The sequence below is a fragment of the Homo sapiens genome, chromosome 12 (assembly GCF_000001405.40).
Source record: "Homo sapiens chromosome 12, GRCh38.p14 Primary Assembly".
Classification (NCBI taxonomy): domain Eukaryota; kingdom Metazoa; phylum Chordata; class Mammalia; order Primates; family Hominidae; genus Homo; species Homo sapiens.
The window spans coordinates 102,192,482-102,212,190 of NC_000012.12; the positions used below are offsets into that span (position 1 = coordinate 102,192,482).

At 34.7% G+C, this 19,709-nt stretch overlaps 2 protein-coding genes and 1 long non-coding RNA gene across 76 annotated transcripts in view, besides 1 other annotated feature; 2 read left to right on the top strand and 1 right to left on the bottom strand.

The window, feature by feature from the left end:
• Positions 1-5,039, top strand: part of PARPBP (PARP1 binding protein) — a 77,338-nt gene extending 72,299 nt beyond the window's left edge. For 38 of the 73 annotated variants that reach the window (NM_001400893.1, NM_001400925.1, NM_001400855.1 and 35 more), the window contains one exon: positions 3,470-5,039. In NM_001400893.1, the coding sequence (NP_001387822.1) occupies positions 3,470-3,542 (73 nt within the window). In that variant the 3' untranslated portion in view covers positions 3,543-5,039. Of the gene's footprint in view, positions 1-2,830; positions 2,967-3,469 lie in introns of those variants that run through there. The other 35 variants (NM_001400870.1, NM_001319993.2, NM_001400871.1 and 32 more) reach the window with 3 other exon arrangements.
• PMCH (pro-melanin concentrating hormone) lies at positions 3,978-5,352 on the bottom strand. 2 transcript variants are annotated; one of them, NM_002674.4, is made up of 3 exons: positions 5,041-5,352; positions 4,492-4,690; positions 3,978-4,220 (listed from the first exon to the last, which is right to left on the bottom strand). In NM_002674.4, exons 1-3 carry the CDS (start codon positions 5,287-5,289, stop codon positions 4,171-4,173), a joined length of 498 nt encoding a protein of 165 aa, NP_002665.2. In that variant the 5' UTR covers positions 5,290-5,352; the 3' UTR covers positions 3,978-4,170. The 2 variants fall into 2 exon arrangements, with proteins under 2 accessions (NP_002665.2, XP_016874972.1); XM_017019483.3 differs by lacking the exon at positions 3,978-4,220 and having other exon boundaries at positions 4,484-4,690.
• Positions 5,353-10,773: 5,421 nt separating this feature from the next.
• Positions 10,774-18,263, top strand: LOC124902998 (uncharacterized). Its single transcript, XR_007063426.1, has 2 exons — positions 10,774-11,100; positions 12,543-18,263. It is a non-coding gene; the product is annotated as an uncharacterized LOC124902998 (long non-coding RNA).
• Positions 11,297-11,466: an enhancer, noted in NCBI's record as "experimental_22888 CRE fragment used in MPRA reporter constructs". NCBI's record gives its function as "activates a minimal promoter by MPRAs in K562 erythroleukemia cells, with activity observed for the non-introgressed 12:102597641 variant allele {active_cell/tissue: K562}" and the evidence as "EXISTENCE:reporter gene assay evidence [ECO:0000049][PMID:34662402]".
• Positions 18,264-19,709: the final 1,446 nt, after the last annotated feature.

Here is a 19,709-nt window from a genome sequence, read left to right on the forward strand (position 1 = left end):
TTTCTTAGTTGGACAGTTGTTGGCTCAGTCAAGTTCATATCAATTTAAATCTCTAGGTCTTTTACATATGTTGTTTTTAAGTCAGGTTCTCCTCATCCTGTACCTCTGTAATTGATATTTTTAAACTTAAATACTGGACTTTGTTTATCCCCATCCATTTTCATCTTATTATTTTCTACTTATGGTTCTAGCCTTCTGAAATCTTTTCAATCTTGATTCTGTTATCCAGTTTATTTGTTATTCCTCCCAGCTGTTTGTCAATAGCAAATTTTATAAGTAGAATGTTTTTGAAGTTGTAGAAGCCATCCTAGTAATCTCTAGTATACGCTGTGCTTGTCACATAGTTGGAACTTAATAAGTGGTAATTGATTAAAAAAAAAGAGATTTTTGTACAGGGCAAGGGAAAGAAAATCTGCATATAATCCTTTATGAAAAGAAAAAATCTCAATATACAAAGGGGGGGAGTTCTGTTGTGTTTATTTCTTATATTTTAATATATTTATAAATAATATTTTTCATGGTAGAGAAAGTCATTAATTATTTTTCTTTTACATCTGAACTTGTTTTCAGTACTTCAGGAATCCATTGCCTTGTGATGGTAGTTTTCTGAAATTGTACTGGGGTCTCTGAGGAGTTTAGAATTTGTCTGTGGGGGAGGCTGAATTGAGGAAATCTAGTTGTAAGGAGAGCTATTGCGCTTATTTTGTGACTATTTGCATAGCAAGCAAAGATTTTTTTACCTAGACTATATGTTAAAAATTAATAAAAGTAACAAAACATTCTAAAGAAATTTTTGTTTGTGCTAAACATGAGATTGAAGAAACATTAGTTTTCTGTACTAAATAATATAATTATTATTTAGTATTATGTTTTTATTTAGAATATTTTATGGGTGGTGCTCATGAGAGTTTTGCAGTGAGAAGCTAACATCTCCCAAGCTAACTCTAGGTGCCATCACTATTGGGTTACAAAGAGTGATCCAAGCCAGCCACTCAGCATCTATTTGCCTGCGTGGTCTTACTATACTCTTTATAACTCTTTATAAGCAATAAGTTTATAATTCTCTATAAGCCATAACTTTTGTGAAGTGAAAATAATGTGTGATAAGATAATGTCAACAGTTAGTACTGGTTTTGCAGATGGAAATAAAAGTTCATGGATAATGCTACTATTATGTAGTATAATATAGAGTCAATTTTATTAATAAAACTTATTTAAATAGGTTTATCTACTGCTTTAAATCTGTAGTTATAGGATTAATAAAGTCCAGAAAGAGCTACTTAAAATCTTCAGTTACATATAGGGCATCTTGAGGTAGAAGCTATTTAATAAGTGTTGCATTCATAGGGATTCATGAAGGTAGTGGGTTGTGAGTCCATTCTGTTCAACTTTTAAAAAAATAGTTTTTGATCTTGTATATTTTCACGTTTATTTTCAGTTTTGTGCATTTTATGCTTAAATGGAAGATAAAACTCCAATTGTCTAATGCTTCATGTAAGCACATGAAACATAATTTTTAGTGATCTGGGAGATGGAGACTGTCACAGACCTCATTAGTCAGAAAGATAGAAAATTTGTCATCCTAGGAAAACTTGCTTTTATGAAGCAGCTGGACAGACGAATATTCTAACTTTTTCTAAGTCATAGTCAGTAGATTTCACTGCCATTGTCTTTACAAACATCTGAGTGAATTAATGCATCGATCTTTGAACATATAATATATAACTACTGAATATATAAAGTCATGCTGTTTTAGATTTCATGACTGTATCAACAAATACTCTGTAAGTAATAATCAGGGTAATGTAGTTATACTCGAAGTGTTACATTTTTGAATTACTGAAGTCATCTTTATTGAATTATGTATTTGAAACTTTGTCTATGTCAGAAAATGATTTCAGGTGACTTCTAATTATTTGGAGACATCTCTCCATTAAACCTGAATGGTATTACACATCATTTGTAATTGTTGAAATTGGCATTATTTGTATAGGCTACTTTGTTCTAAAATTAATTTCTATCCCCAATAGCTCACTGGTTTATGTTTGTGGAACAAATTTCCAAAACTACTTTTTTTGGCATCCTTTTCAGTGATCAAGAATTGAGTTCATCTTTGTAATTTTCTCCTATTTATGTAGAAAGTTAGGCCCTCCTATTTGATGTTTGAAGATAAATGCAAGAGTATACTTTGGATTTCTGACCATTAAGTCACTTGGTCAAATCTTTCTAGACTGATACATTGAATCATCTTTCTTGTTTTCCTAAATACTCGAGAAATAATGTCTTTCCTATATCATTTTGTTTTATCTTGCAGTTTCTTTGCTAGTTTCCTGTTTTTGATTGACCTCACTTAGTTCTTTTTTTCATCTTAGCATTTCTTCCCTCCCTAATTTCTTGAATTCCATATGCTATTTTTTTTCCAAGAGTGTGTTCTTCTTAGGATGAAGAACTTGTATTTTTCTATGATTATGTATATCACCTGTATTGTTATTTTACTTACAATAAGACGCTCCAAAGCAGTGCTGACACAGGAACATGTAACAAAGCCCTGCGAAGAGTCTAAAATTGATTGTTTTGTAACTGTTACCAAAAAAAAAATCAAAAATATACATAAAGCTATTATTTTGGAAAAGAACAAAAATGCTAGCCATAACAATGAATGAGTTTGCAAACTATGAAATATAAAAGGTTAGAGAGAGGTTCTCAATGAGTAATAGAATTTCTAAGGGAAATTTTTATACCTTGATTACTATAGAGTGTGTGTCTATCTAGATGAAGAAATAAAATAATGAATAAATTTGCATATTTTCTTCTTTCTTTCTGTTACTAGATGAAGCAAACTTTAATTAGATCCCAATTTGCTTGTACTTATAAAGATGACTACATGATAAGCAAGGATAATTGGAATAATGTTAATTTAGCATCAAAGCCTTTGTGTGTTCTTTACATGGAAAATGACCTTTCTGGTAATTGACCTTATTTGTGCAATTAAATAACAATTTAATTCTAGTCTACTAATTAGTTTTAACTTAAGTAAAATTAGGTTATTTTTGCAAAGTACTATGAAATGTAAAGGGTAATATTTTTAAAGACCTCAGTTTATTTAAAAAGTTAAATCTAAGTACAAATTTATCGATAGGAATAGGACACAGTTTGATTTAACTAAATGTATTTAAGAAGTAATTTGTAGCATATGTTTAAGGATTAAATGTCATGCATTCAAACAAATATTTCTTAATAGGGCTGACAAGTTGATTACTGGCCAAAGCTAACTCAGAGGTGCTATGATAAAATGAAAAGTAATAGGATAGTAATGTAGCTATATTTGTCAATCATATTATTTATAGCATTATTTTACTTTAAAAATTTGAATATTCGTTAGCCATTTTTAAAGTTTATTGTAAAGTTCTCGTAAATATTAATACTCAATATCATGTAATTCCTTTCCCCTTTTTATCTTGCATAACAGAGGGTGTAAATCCATCTGTTGGAAGATCAACAATTGGAACGAGTTTTGGAAATGTTCATCTGGACAGAAGTAAAAATGAAAAAGTATCAAGAAAATCAACCAGTCAGACAGGAAATAAAAGCTCAAAAAGGAAACAGGTGGATTTGGATGGTGAAAATATTCTCTGTGATAATAGAAATGAACCACCTCAACATAAAAATGCTAAAATACCTAAGAAATCAAATGATTCACAGAATAGATTGTACGGCAAACTAGCTAAAGTAGCAAAAAGTAATAAATGTACTGCCAAGGACAAGTTGATTTCTGGCCAGGCAAAGTTAACTCAGTTTTTTAGACTATAAATTTGTGTCTTATATGCTTTAGGTTTATGTATCTATAAACCATTCACCAAAGACATGCTTAATTTTTAAGAGATCAAGGTGTAAATTATGATGATTTATTATTTTGGTCTACAGTGTATGTAAGGTTAGTATGTTAAGCATTGTTTAAAAATACTAGTAAGTCATAATTATGCAGAATTTTCACAAAGTTTAATGCACAGAGAAAGCATATCATTTCAGTTACTGATACATCTTAACACTACTTTCTTTTAAAACAGACATTTAACATACACAAGTTATAGTAGCAGTATGGGCTTCTCCTCCCATTGGCAATTAAATGCTTTTATTTTCTTCTGAAAAGATGATGTGGACCAACAGGTATCAGACTTGCCAACAAGGTCGGTAGACTCTTCCCAGCATACATCTGAGCACTGAAGGAAGAAGAAAGTTTAAATTGTTTAAAGGACTATAATTATCACACAAAATTTATTAAGAAAAAAAGAATGGATCTAGTATAACTAATTCTGAGTAAACCAAAATGATAATAATTAATTGTTGCTATTTAATCCCACATTTTTGGCAGGTGTAATTGAGCCATGGTCTTATTTGATTTTGTTATGATTGCATCCAAATTCACTTTAACTCAGAGTTCTGTTTAATGGTGGTAGGATGTAAGAATTGAATTTTGAAAAGACTACTCACTGTCAAAATCTCTCCTTCCTATAGGAAATTTAGCTGAGTTTTCTTCATCCCCAATTTCTCTCTTTTCTTGTGTTGATTCAGTATTCTGAACTCCATTCTCAGCTGGGAAAGCTACAGATCCTTTTAGTGCAAGATAAGGTTTTATAGCCAGATTCAGTGGCAGACCATGATTTAAGAAATTATGTTTGGAGCCTGTGTTCTGTAAAGAGAAGGTTGATTTGGTTTTTAGCTATCGTATTCGGAGTGGAACTATAATACAATTGTATAATATTCTTGTTGATCAATTCAAAGTTACTCTGCACTGTTTTTGACTTTTTAAAAATACCTTAGATGCAAATTTATAGGAGAAAAAACACTTTCAGATAAGAGGTGTTTGCTGGGATGGAAGAACTACCTGGCATGTAAGAAATATCGTCAGTCGTCCTAATGCATATTGTGACTGTTTGCATATACTTCTGTTTATAAAAGTATCAGTTTTACTTTTCAGAGGATTTGTAAGAATCATTTAAATTTTCATTGAAATAAACGACAAGTCACATTGCCACTTACCTTTGAAACTTTATTTTCCTCTTCGTTCATGAAACTGCTCTCATCATTTTTATATTGTTCCAGGGAAGGAGCAATAACTGATTTTTCTGCAGTGTCTTCCTTCTGAAAGCCTTTCCCCAACCTGAATGTATTAAATACCATGTCATCATCTAAATTTCTTATGGACTTGGATGCTGAAAGTAAAATACCTTGAGAAAACAAAGAAAAAGTTAGTATTAATATATAGGAAGAGAGATTCATTTTTGCCATTCTTAGTTTGATGTTTGCATACAGTCAAACAAGAAAGAAAATGAAAAATTTCTCTGTCAGCCTGCTTGGTAAACGATTCTGTATCTTTATATATTTTCTAGCTTGAATAGAAAGCACTTCAAAGAATTATACTTTTCATCATTTTAGAAATGACTCATTAGATTGAGGCTAACCTTTATGCAGCTGCTAATACCTACATTGTTTTGGTTTTAGTGACACATTGTTTATTTTGAGTGTGAATTTTCTCAGAATCTGACTAAGATCCTTGGTAGAATGCTTTCTGTTGAGTAGATTATAGTCTCTTGAAAATGGGTTGTTATTAAGGAAGACCACAGGACATCAGGCTCTCTCTATATTATTGTTTCCTTTTGTGTATTTTCTGATTAAGTAAAGATATTAAAACTCAAGTTATTTCACTCAAGGATGATAAGGATAAAGTTTTATTTCCTTTTAATCCTGATTAAACTGAAATAATCCTCAAAAGAGACTTTCTTTTATAAATACTTGATATAGTTTTTGGTGATTAAAGTACATATGCCTGTCAGTGTGAACAAAAAGCCATTCATGCTATATCAAAAATTGACCTGTCAGGTGTATTTTATCTCTGCATTTACAAAAGGATAATATGTACAAATATTTATTAATGAATTTAGAAATTAATGAATTAGTCCATGAAAAGAATATTTATGTGCCCATAAACATTACTTTTGGATGATGAGTTTATGTTGTATGACTTTTAATTAAACATTTCAGAGTTAATTTCTAATTTTGACCCCAATGAATAAGATAATACATTCTTTTATATGTCTTCTGGTACATATATGTAAGAATTTTTCTAGAGTATATTTCTCAGTATGGAATTACTGGATCATGGAGTATGTATATGTTCAGCTTTACTAATGCCAAAATGTTTTCCAACATAGTTGTAAGCGATTTGTGCCCTCGATAAGCAGGGTATGAGAATTTCCATTGTTCCATGTCCTAGCTGACTCTTGTGTCTCATTGTCCTTTTAATTTGTATTTTCCTAATTACCAAAGAGGTTAAGTGTCTTCCCATATGTTTCTGAGCCATTTATGTTTCCTCTTATGTTAAATGCTTTTTTTTTTTTTCTTTTTTGGCTTTGTCCATTTTTCTATTGGGTTGTCTTTTTCTAATTTATTTATGGGAGTTCTTTATATATTCTGGATATTAATTGTTAGTTATATATGTTTCAATTATTTTCGCTCAGTTTGTGACATATTTTCAACCCCTCTGGTGTCTTTTGGTGAACCAAACTGATTAATTTTAATGTTTAAATATTTTTCTTTTTTCTTTATGGCAACTACTTTTAATGTGTTGTTTTTTTTTAGAAATCCTTCTCAATCCTTAGATTATTAACGTGTTTTCATATATTTTCTTCTAAAAGTTTAAATATTTTGACTTTCATGTTTAGGTTTGTAATTCATCTGTAATTTTGTGTATGATATAAGATAGAGATGTAATTTTACTTTTTCCAATGTCCTTATATATTTCTTGAAGAAGTCATCCTGTCCCCACTAATCTGCAGTGCCATCTCTACAGTATATCAGATTTCTATATATGTGTGGGCTCCTTTCAGAACGTTCTATTCCACAGCCAAATCTACAGTATTAATATAACTTTAAAATAATTTTTAATATCTGGTCAAATTTCCCAGCCCTCTACTTACCCACATGTTTTTCTTTTACAGCAGTTCCTTAGCTATTCTTAGTCATTTCTTTTCCATATAAATCTTAAAATCAGCTTTTCAAGTTCCGTAAGAACACTTGACAGGATATTAAGGTTCTAGTTAGGTATCCCTTATCTGAAATGCTTAGGACCAGAAGTATTTTTGGATTTGGGATATTTTTTTCAGAATTTGGAACATTTGCATTATATCAGTTAAGTATCCCAAAATCTGAAATCTGAAATGCTTCAATGAATATATATTTTTTAGCATATTGTTAATGCTTAACAAGTTTCAGATTTTGGAGCATTTTTGGATTTTGGCTTTTCAGATTTGGGATGCTCAACTTATAATCACATTGGTTTTATAGATTTATAGATTAATTTTGGAGAAGAACTGATATCCTGAAGGTAATTTATTATCTATGAGCATGACATTTTTCTGTATTTGCTTAGATCTTCTTTAATCTTTTTTTCTTCTTTAATCTTTTAATGACATTTTCTTTTCTTCATAAAGGTCTTGCATACCTTTGTTGAGAGAATTATAATTCTTTATAATTTAATTGAATTTCTTATTTTTGGTTATTATAAATTGTATTTTGAAATGATCTTTCTAACATTATTGCTGGTATGTGCATGTGCATTTGGCTTGTGCATAGTAATTTGATAACAGAAAAAAACTTTCTAAACTCTTATTTTTTTTTCTTTTTAATTGTTTATAAATGTATAGATTCTTTGGGATTTTGTATGAAGACAATTGATATAAATGATAAAATAATGGCATTTTATCTCTTTCTCCTAACTTCATCTATATTGTGTATACATGTCTTTGTGTCTGTTCATGTGTTCATACACACTGGCCAAAGCCTCCAGTAAATACTGAAAATGGAGAGAAGAGATATCTTTACAGTGTTACTGATTTTACAGATAATGATTTTAATGCTTCACCACTGAGCGTAATGTTTGCTGTAGGTTTCTTATAGATACTTGCTATAAAGTACAGGATGTTCTCTTTTGTTTCTGGCTTACTAATAGTTTTTATCATGAATTGTTGTTGAATATTATTGAATGCTTTTTTTGCATATATTGAGATGACCAGATCATTTTCTCCTTCAGTCTTTGGAAATATTAACAGATTTTTCTAATGTTAAACTAACCATGTGTTCATGAAGAAACCTTTAAATTATCGGATTCAATTTGGCAATATTTGATTTAGTACATTTTACATTTATTATGAGTAAGATTGATTTGTAATTTTCCTTTTTTATATTGACTTTGGTTTGATATTAAGTTTGTACCAATTTCTTACATTGAGGGCAAGATTTATCCTTCTTTCTTTTCTCTCTTGTTAGACTTTGGGTTTGGTGTTTTCTTGGTAGGATTTTTGTTGTTAAGAATTGATGTACTTTCTTCAGTAGCTGTAGTAACATTTAGCTTCTCTGTTTCTTTTTTAGTTTGTTTTAGGAATTTACATTATTGTATAATTTGTCCATTTCACTTAAGTACTTTTTATCTGAGGTAGACTTAACTGCTGATTTTCTCGGGGACTATTAAGATCTTTCTCAGTAAATGTTTTGTGATTATAATTATAAACAAAGGACTCTGACATCCCTTGACTTCTTTGATCTTAGAGCTTCCTTATCTTTTTAATGTTGTTAGTTGTGCCCTACTTTGTTTCCCTTGGTTTGAACCTGGTTTGGATGTGCCTGTTTAATCTATAAAAGTCCTTGTTAGGCTGGGCACGGTGGCTCACGCCTGTAACCCCAGCACCATGGGAGGCCGAGGTGGGTGGATCACCTGAGGTCAGGAGTTTGTGACCAGCCTGGCCAACATGGTGAAACCCCATCTCTACTAAAAATATAAAAATTAGCTGGGCATGGTGGTGGGTGCCTGTAATTCCAGCTACTGGAGAGGCTGAGGCAGGAGAATTGCTTGAACCCAGGAGACGGAGGTTGCAGTGAACCAAACATGGTGCCATTGCACTCCAGCCCAGGCGACAGAGCGAGACTCTGTCTGGAAAAAAAAAAAAAAAAAAAAAAAAAAGTCCTTGTTAATGGAAATCTTTTTTCTTAGATGCTGTTGTGGGAGGGTAATAAATATTAATAATTATGTACTTTGTTTTAAATTTCCACTGGATGAATTGGCTTGGCTGATCTTCACTCAAAATTGGGACCAAATCCAAATGATTTTGACGGTTTAGAGAAGTTAATGTTTTATTTTGTTTAAACTGTCATAGCCTCTGAGCATTATGAGGTTTTGCCATAACCATTTAATTATGGAGATAGTTTCCAATTTTTTTAATGATAACTTTTTTTAAAAAAAACTTTGGTTACTGTGATGTGCAGTGGAGCATAGTAGACTTCTTTTTCATTGATGCTGAAAATGGTATGTCCCCAAGTAGTAGAAGGGAACTTTGGAGAAGTAAAACTATTGCCAGATGGGCTTGGGTGGTTCAGTAAACCTTACAAAGGCAAAAGGCTTATATAAAATATGATCTTCATTTTCTGTTGAACTACTGCTAACACTGTATATTTGCAAGTCACTTTATTAAATTTCTCTTTGTTCCAATTAACACATCTTTGCTATGTGTCACCAGTAAATTAAATGGCAATTGGCCATTGGCTTACTGAGAATCATCAATTTCTTAGTGGCTAATTGTATGAGTGTAAAAACAAGATTGCTCACTTATATAAATTATCAAAAGATATAAGAAAACTTAAAATTCCTTCTCAGATTTCTATAGTAAACAACCCATACACTTTCACCTAGCGTTTACCATTAACGTTTTACTTCTATCCCTTCATCCCTTTATTAATCATCTTATTCTTTTAATGCATTTCAAAGGATATTGCATATATCAGTATGCTTTTCATGAAATACTTCAACATACGTATCATTAACTGGAATTTAATAGTTGTTTACAGCTTTTTTTTGAAGTAAAATTTATGGAAAGTAAAATGCATAAACTATAAGTGCATATTTGCTAATTTTTGACAAATGTGTTTGCTTATGAAACCCAAAGTCCTTTCAAGATACAAGACATTGCCATCACCCCAGAAAGTTATGTCTTACCTTGTTAGAGTTTACATGTACCACCATTTTCCCCACTCCCACCCGTCATTCCAACTCTGCTCTTAGACAATCACTGTTCTAATTTCTTCTGCTGTGAATTAGTTTTGCCTATTTTGGAAATATACAGTATGACGTCTTTTATGGAAGGCCTCTTTCACTCAGCATGTTTGACATTCATCTTTAATGTTGTAAGAAGCAGTAGTTCCTTCCTTTTTTATTACCGTTGTATAAATATACTACAATTGACTTGTCTCTTTTCCTGTTAATGGACTCTTGAATTGTATCCAGTTTTTGGCTATTACGAATAACACTATCTACATTCTTGCACAAGTCTTTTTGTGGACATGTGTTTTTATTTCTCTTGGGTAAATATATAGGAATGGAATTGCTAGGATATAAGATAGATGTATCTTTAATTTTGTAAGAAATTGTTAGATTATTTTCCAAAGTGATTGTACCATTTTATACTTCAACAAAGACTGTATTAGAGCTTTGGTTGCTCCACATCCTCACCAGCATTTGATGTTGTCAGTCTTAATCTTAGCCATTCTGGTAGATGAGTAGTGATATCGTGTTTTAATTACATTTTCCTAATAACTAATGATGTTGAGCACTTTTTCATGTGCTTGTTAGCTATTCATATATTTTCTTTTGTGAAGTGTCTGTTTAGATCTTTTGTTCATTTTGTTGGGCGAGGGATGTTTCTTTTTATTACTGAGTTGTAAGAGTTATATATATTACATATATATTCCTCCCACCCCAGAAATTCCCCCCAACCCCAGAATTTTCTTCTCTTTATCTATGTTTCCAACTGGAGTGGGCCACATGAGACATTCCTGTATAAGATTGGAGAGCAGAAGTGAAGCAGATGTCACGTACGGTTCACACATGATGTCGCTTATCTGCTGGCTCATGTCGTTGGCTCTGCAGCAGTCAGACCTGCGACTGCTCCACTTTCGCTGGATCCACTTTCAGTTTCTCTGACTCCTGGGACACATGTGTGCAGTTCTGTGACAAAGGAGACTAGCTGTCCTGAGGACATCCATACCATTGAGGTCAGATGCAGCAAGATATGATATGAGTTTCAGTCTATCCTCATGGGTTTCAGCTCATGCTGGTGAATTCCAGTATGTTCTTCTTCTTCCCTACTTTACATCCATCTTTCCTTCCTGGCAGCCTGCCCTGTGGACTCCAGCATTAGATGGAATGATCTGCTTAATATTGCTTAATTAGCTTTCACAATTGCATGAGACAGATTTATGTAACAAATTGTGTATATATTTCTGTATATGTGAATATGTATGTGTGTTGTTCTGCTTCTGTGATTGACTTCTGACGGACACTTCCCAACTCTTTTTATGAGTCTAGCATAAATTTGGTACCAAGACCTGATAATGCTATTACAAGAAGGGAAAATTATAGGCCAATATTTCTAATGAACATGGATGTAAAAATCCTAAACAAAATGTTATCAAATAGAATCCAGTTATGAAAAAGGTAAAATTTCATGACCAGGTGAGGTTTATTTCAGGAATGTAAAATTGAACTTTCAGAAAAAAATTGGTAAAATTCACCACTGTAAATGAATACAGGAGACAAAAACACGATCATCTCAAATATAGAAAAGCACAATGATTGGCTGTGCTGAATGCTACTGGTTGAGTAAGATGAGAACTGAGAATTTATCTTTGATTTGGCTATGTGATAGTCATTGCTGACCTTAATGAAGCAGTTTCAATGACACTGGTAGAGATTCAACCTTGATAGGAGAGAATTTAATAAGAATGGAAAGAGAACAAATGGAAACAGTGAATATAAATAGTATGTCACCGATTTACACTGAAGAATGCAGAAAAATTAGATTGTAGATGGAAGAGAGTTGGCTATTGCTATTTAAAGATGGAAGATATTGTAGCATGATAAGAAGTGGCTATGCTGAATTTGTGGGACTCAAGTAACAAAAGGATTTACATGCTGTAAACAGTATGGAATAAAATAGACATTCATCCTCCTTCCCAACTCTTAAGTATGTGTGGTGGTAATGGGATCAGTGAAGTGGAGAACGCTATAAGGGTATTTGTTATTCAGAAGGTATAGTACAAAGATTGGAGAGAGAAGAGAGAAGAAACACAGTGCTGTTTAGAGATGAAAGTGTGGGAGGATAGATATCTAGAGGGGCTCATATCTGGATGGAGAGCAAGGGTAAGAGAGAACAAGGTGTGGTAATTTGGCTAGCAAGGGAATTAGTCCTGACACTCCCTTAGAAGGTGTGTGTGTGTGTGTGTGTGTGTGTGTGTGTGTGTGTGGAGTTGATGTAGTTGGCAGGGAAGGGTAGCTCCTGGTAGGCGTTTAGGCCACTCAGAATTCAGCAATAAAATTAGGAGGTTATCCTTCTGAGACAGTTTGAATTTGGTTGGTAAGTTGACCTCCAGTTTTTTTTTCTTTCTTTGAGAAGAGTCAACTTGAGTTTTTTTGTTTGTTTGTTTTTAATTTGAAGGCTCAGAAGAGAGATCCAAGGCTTCCAGCATGTGGGCTTGTAGAGAGTACTTAGAGACGCGAGATATGGGGGCCAGCTGAGAGTGGTGAAGATGGTTAAGCTCTTGTTTTGCTCCAAGAATTGGAGTGGGTAAGGTATCTTCTCACCATGCTCAATGCAGTTGGTTTGTGAGATAGTGGGGTGGGAGACACAGGGAGAGTTTATGATGCTCCACTGTAATTAGTCCAGTAACTGTGAGACCAGTTGAGTAGGAACGTGGATATCCTCAAGCTTTGTTCCACTGTTACAGCTGGTAAACATGGATGAATTGATTTAAATATTTATTTTGCAACAATGTGGATTTGAATTATGGATATAGTTTCCTCTTTTTGGTTAATTATATGCACATTTGAATTCATCTCTGTCTATGAGTACTAGTGGACTAGCTGCTTCCCTGGATCTCGTTACTGGATGGTATGTTGCTCTTAGTGTCATCCAAACAGAATTATTTTAAAAGTGAAATGAAGAAACCAGTTGTAGTGAATTACACATCACCAATTTTTAGAGCTGTAGACTAATATCTTGAAAATTGCCTTAACATCTTTTTGCCACAAATCAAGATATAAGTAACATTAAGAGTTATGTAAGGCCAGGCGTGGTGGCTCACACCTGTAATCCCAGCACTTTGGGAGGCTGAAGAGGATGGATCATCTGAGGTCAGGAGTTAAAGACCAACCTGGCCAATATGGTGAAACCCCGTCTCTACTAAAAGTAAAAAAAACAAAATTAGCCGGCTGTGGTGGCATGTGCCTGTAGTCCCAGCTACTCGGGAGGCTGAGGCACAAGAATCTCTTGAATGCGGACAGTGGAGGTTGCAGTGAGCTGAGAATGCACCACTGCACTCTAGCCTGGGCGACAGAGCAAGATTCCATCTCAATTAAAAAAAAAAAAAGTTATGTGAACATGCTTGAAATGATGTTCATGGCTAAATTTTTCAGTTACCTTGTAAAGATGATTCTTGGATATTGTTTTGATTCTGAGTACTTTTGGAGTCATCTGATAGTATGCTTCGAGAATAACAATCTGATGATAGCTTTCAACATTGGGTTACCAACAAAGCTTGTTATTTTGTATACATTGATTCATAATTTCAGGTTTCTTCACCATTATGGTAAGTAGTGTATTGAGTCTTCATTCTAACACATGTTAGGAATTTATGTTTGTACTCATGGATGTCTTTAACCCTCAGACATTTCTACTTATATTGAGAACTCTAGACTGAAAACATTTTGAAATGTAGTGGTTTTACTATGTAGGAGGAACATGTGATTCATTTGTTCTGCTTCATTTTCTTCTGTTTGTGATAGAGATTGGATCAGATGAAAGTGTCTTGATAATGATATACATGCCATTCTTTTCATTCTATGTATTTGTAGTCCTTTTTTGCCATCATAACTTTGTTTATGATATTCCCTGCTCTTAAAATACCCTCATCTTGTCCCTCCACCTATCTATATCTAAAATATCCTTCAAGACCTTCCTTTTGCAGCTTTCTCTGAGTACTACAGCCAAATCCTCTTGTCTGAACTCCAACATGTGTAATACATTATCATCCTGTTTAAATATAATTATTTCTTATATTTATTAATTTATCAAGGCCCTAAATATCTGCATAAGCTTGCCTTCATGGTTTCACTTTTTCATTGTTCTCTATATTCATGCCATGTAACTTTGGCATGCCTTCCCACTGTGGGTGGGGTAACCTGCCCACTGTTTGACTCTGGTTTCAGGCATGTGATTTGCTTTAACTAATGAGATATTATCAGATATCATGCAAGCAGAGGCTTGAAATGGTCTTGCACATTGGGAATTCCCTCTTGAGCCTCTGCCACCACCATGAAAACATTCCCATGCTAGCCTGCTGGAGAGAGCCACATGGAGGAGAGCCATGCTACCCTAACTGCCATAGCTGAGGCTATCCTCGATCAGCACACATCCATTCAAGCACCAGACACTGGAGAAAGTCCACTTGAGGTCAGTAGAGCTGCCTAGCAGATGCCCAACTGACCCAAAAAGCATAAGACATAAACATTTATTGTTGTATACCCTCTGAAGTTTTGCATGTGTTACACCATATTACTATAGTAATAGATAATTGATACAAATGTCCTACATGGCCTGGACCATGCATTCCTTGCTAAATTTATTTCTTGCTACTCTGTCCCTCTTTCGTCACTCTCTAGTGATATTGGCCTTCTGTTTTTATGATATGCCAAGATCATTTCTGACGCAAGACTTTTTCCCTGCTATTCTCTTTGTCAGGAGCATCTTTCTCCTGTTATTTATCTGAGCATTTATCACTCATTATTGTGATGCTCAGCTCAAATATCATGGTTTCTGAGAGTGCTTCCTTGACCCTATGAGCTAAAGGAGCCCCCTTCCCACTCATTCTTTCCCTATTCCTTTCACTCCTTTATTTTCTTCACTGTGCTTCTGTCTAAAATTATCTTACTTGTTTACATGCTTATTGTCCATTTCCTCTAATGCCAGTGAGGGAGATGGTATCAAGAACAGAGTATCAAGAACAGAGTCTGGCACATAGTAGCCTTTCAATAAACATGTAATAAATGTATGAATTATTTTTTCATTAAGAGAACAGATGGTAGAAACTATGATAGGTTCTAGAATATGATAGAGTATTTACTTATTACCTAGGTCTGCTGTGACAAATTACCACAAACTTGATGGCTTAAGGCAACAAAAGCCCAAAATCAATGCGTGGACAGGACTGTGTTTCCTCCAGAGACTCTAGGGGAGAGCCCTTCCTTGCCTCTTCCAGCTTCTGGTGACTGTTGGCATTCACTGCCTTGTGGTAGCATCCTCTGCTCTGTCTTCAATGACCTTCTCCTCTTTGTGTCTGTTCCTAATATTCCTCTGCCTCTCTCTTATAAGGATTCATGTGATGGCATTTAGGGCCCACCAGGATTATCTCCTCATCTCAAGATTCTTAGTCACATCTGCCAAGACTCTTTTAGGGGTAACATTCAAAATGAATAAAGAAAACTACAGGACAATATGCCTGATGAACACAGATGCAAACCTCCTCAACGTAATACTAGCAAACCAAATACAGCAGCACATAAAAAATTGCTTCACCATGATCAAGTAAGTTTCATTTCTGAGATGCAGGTTGGCTCAACATATGAAAATCAATAAATATGATTCACCACATATGCAGAATTAAGAAGAAAAACCATATGATCATCTCAGTAGACACAGGAAAAGCTTTCAGTAAAATCCAACATCCCTTCATGATAAAAACCCTCAAAAAACTAGGCATTGAAGATACATACCTCAAAAAATAAGCGCCATCTCTGACAAACCTACAGACAACATCATACTGAATGGACAATAACTGGAATCATTCCCCTTGAGATTGGAATAAGACAAGGATGCCCACTCTCACCACTCCTGTTCAAAATAGTACTGGAAGTCCTTGCCAGAGCAATCAGGCAAGAGAAAGAAATAAAAGGCATGCGAATAGGAGAAAAAGTCGAACTATCTTCACTGATGATATAACTCGATACTTAGGAAACTAAAGACTCTGCCAAAAGGCTCCTGAAACTCATAAGCGCTTCAGTAAAGTATGAGGATACAAAATTAACATACAGAAGTTTGTAGCATTTCTATACACCAATAACATTCAAGCTGAAAGCTAAATCAAGAATGCAATTCCATTTACAATACACATGGACACACACACACGCCTAGGATACAAATAACCAAAGAGGTAAAAGATCTCCCCAAGGAGAACTACAAAACACTGCTGAAAGAAATCCCAGATGGAAACAAACAAATAGAAAACTATTCTACGCTCACAGATTGGAAGAATCAATATCATTAAAATAGTCATACTGTCCAAAGCGATCTACAAGTCCAATGCTATTCCTATCAAGCTATCAATATCATTTTTCACAAAACTGGAAAAGACTATTCTAAAATTTATATGGAACAACAACAACAGAAAGCCCAAATAGCCAAAGCAATCCTAAACAAAAAAACAAAGCTGGAAGCATCAAATTACCTGACTTCAAACTATACTATAAGGCTACAGTAAACAAAACAGCATGGCACTGGTGCAAAAACAGAAACACATAGACCAGTGGAACAGAACAGAGAACCCAGAAATAAAGCTGCACACCTACAGCCACCTGACCTTCATCAAAGTTGACAAAAATAGTCAATGGGGAAATGACTCCCTATTCTATAAATGGTTCTGGGATAGCTGGCTAGTCACATTGCAAAAGAATGAAACCAGACCTCTATATTTCACCATATACAAAAATTAACCCAAGAGGGATTAAAGTGTAAGACCACAAATTATAAGAATTCTAGAAGAAAACCTAGGAAACATCTTTCTGGAGATTGGTCATAGGAGAGAACGTATTACTAAGTCCTCAAAAGCAATTGCAACAAAACCAAAAATTGATAAGTGGGACCTGCATAAACTAAAGAGCTTCTGCACAGCAAAATAAACTATCAACAGAATAAAAAGACAACCTACAGAATGAGAGAAAATATTCACAAACTATGCATCCAACAAAGGTCTAACATCTAGAATATATAAGAAACAAACAGTTGAACAAGCAAAAAACAAATAGCCCCATTAAAAAATGGAGAAAATACATGAAGAGACACTTCTCAAAAGAAGACATACAAGCAGCCAACAAACATTTAAAAATGTTCAGCATCACTAGAGAAATGCAAATCAAAACCACAATGAGATGCCTTCTTATACCAGTTAAAATGGGTATTATTAAAAAGTCAAAAATCAACAGATGCCGGCAAGGCTGTAGAGAAAAGGGAATGCTTATACACCGTTGGTGGGAATGTAAATTAGTTTAGCCCCTGTGGAAAGCAGTTTGCAGATTTCTCAAAGAACTTGAAACAGAACTACCATTTGACCTAGCAATCCTATTACTGGTATGCATCCAAAAGAAAGTAAGTTGCTCTACTAAAAAGACATATGTACTCATATGTTCATCACAATGCTATTCATAATAGTAAAGACATGGAGTCATCTAGGTGCCCATCAAAAGCAGATTAGAAAAAGAGAATGGGGTATTATACACCATGGAATACTATGCACCCATAGAAAAAAAATTATGTCCTTTTTAGCAACATGGAAACAGCTGGAAGCCATTATCCTAAGCAAATTAACACAGGAACAAAACAAAATACCACATGTTCTCACTTATAAGTGGGAGTAAAACAGGTACTTGTGGACATAAAGGTGCTAACAGTAGACTCGGGACTACTAGGGGAGGGAGCAAGGAAGGCAGGGGGTAGGGGCTGAAAAATTGTTGGGTACTATGCTCAGTACTTGGGTGACTCAAGTAATCTGCACATGTACACCCTGAATCTAAAAAGTTGAAATTATAAAAATAATAAAATATTTTTTTAAAAGATAGCATTCACAGCTTCCAGGGATTCAGTGTGAATACTTTTGGGGGCCATTTTTTGGCCTGCCAGAAGTATAAACACTATCAACTCTAGTATATAAGAGGCAAAACAGTATTATCTGCACATGACCATGCTGTTTAAGCTCTGTGCCTACTTGCTCTCCTGCAAAGCACAGATATCAATAGTACCTATTTCCAAAGATTGTTGTGAGGATTGATATGTAAGTACCCAGTAGTTTCTATGACATAAGTATTCAATAAATATCATTACACTGTTAAACAATGCCTACTGAACATTTCCTATGTGCCAAGCTTCGTCCCAAGTACATGTCATGCCTTAGCCAATTTAGTCCTCACAACAATCCTATGAGTAGAGACTGTCTCTTGCTGAAGGTCATATACCTAGTAAGCGGTGGTGAGATTGAAACCCAGACACTCTGCTCCAGAAGTCTGTGCTCTTAACCGCTCCAGATGTGGCCTTTCTGAATGATGCTACTGTTGTTTTAAAATAATTGCTCTAGGCTCGGTGTGGTGGCTCACACCTGTAATCCCAAGACTTTGGGAGGCTGAGGCAGGAGAATTGCTTGAGCCCAGGAGTTTGAGACCAGCTTCAGCAACATGGTGAGACCCTATCTCTACCAAAAAAAAAAAAAAAGAAAAAAGCCAGATATGGTGGCACATGCCTGTGGTCCCAGCTACTTAGGAAGCTGAGGCAGAAGGATCGCTTGAGCTCAGGAGGTCAAGACTGCGGTAAGACATGATTGTGTCACTGCACTCCAGCCTGTGCAACAGAGCAAGACCCTGTCTCAATTAGTAATAATAGTAATTGCTTCAGGGCCAGGTGCAGGGGCTCATGTTTATAGTCCCAGCACTTTGGGAGGCTGAGGCTGGAGGATCACTTCAGTCCAGGAGTTCAAGGACAGCCTGGGCAATAAAGTGAGGCCCCATCTTTACAAAAAATTGAAAAAAAAAAAAAAAAAGGCAGGCCTCTTGGTGTGCACCTGTGGTCCCAGCTACTTGGGAGGCTGATCTGGGAGGATCACTTGAGCCCAGGAGGTTGAGGCTGTAGTGAGCCATGATTACACTAATGCATTCCAGCCTTGGCAGCAGATCAAGACCCTGTCTCAAAAAAATAAATAAAAATAAAATAATTGCTGTGAAATTTCTATTAACGTTTTTGGGAAAACCAGAGGCTTCTGTGTGACATGTGAATCACAGAGGAGAAATCATGAATCTTTATAGCCTTGTGTTAACATGACTTCCTTTTGTTGATAGAGTGGTTTATTAGTCTCAAGACCTTTGAAATGGCACATGAATTGCTTGGACAGATTATGGAGACATCCACCCTTCTTTAGAGATTTAAGTAAGTAGAACCAGTTAGTGTGCCTCTTCTGTTTCTCACCTTGCTCAATGCAGAATGAACTTGGTGTATATCCACCAGAAGCACCTGCTTATCTACTGTTTGCTGTCGTTGCAGGTATCTGTTGAGATTAGCTGTAACGAGTTGTATGTAATTTTATAACTAACTGAATTAAGAAAAGCCTTTGTAAGATTCAGTATCTGCTTCAGGTCATTGAAATGTAAAATTAGAAAGTAAGCTGAGGGCAGGGGATTTTTTTCTGTTTTATTCCATTTATTCCCTCACCACCTTTGCCATCCACCACCAACAGTTTCTTTTAAATTTAGCATCCAGAGTAGACCTTTGACAACGCAAATCAGATCACTT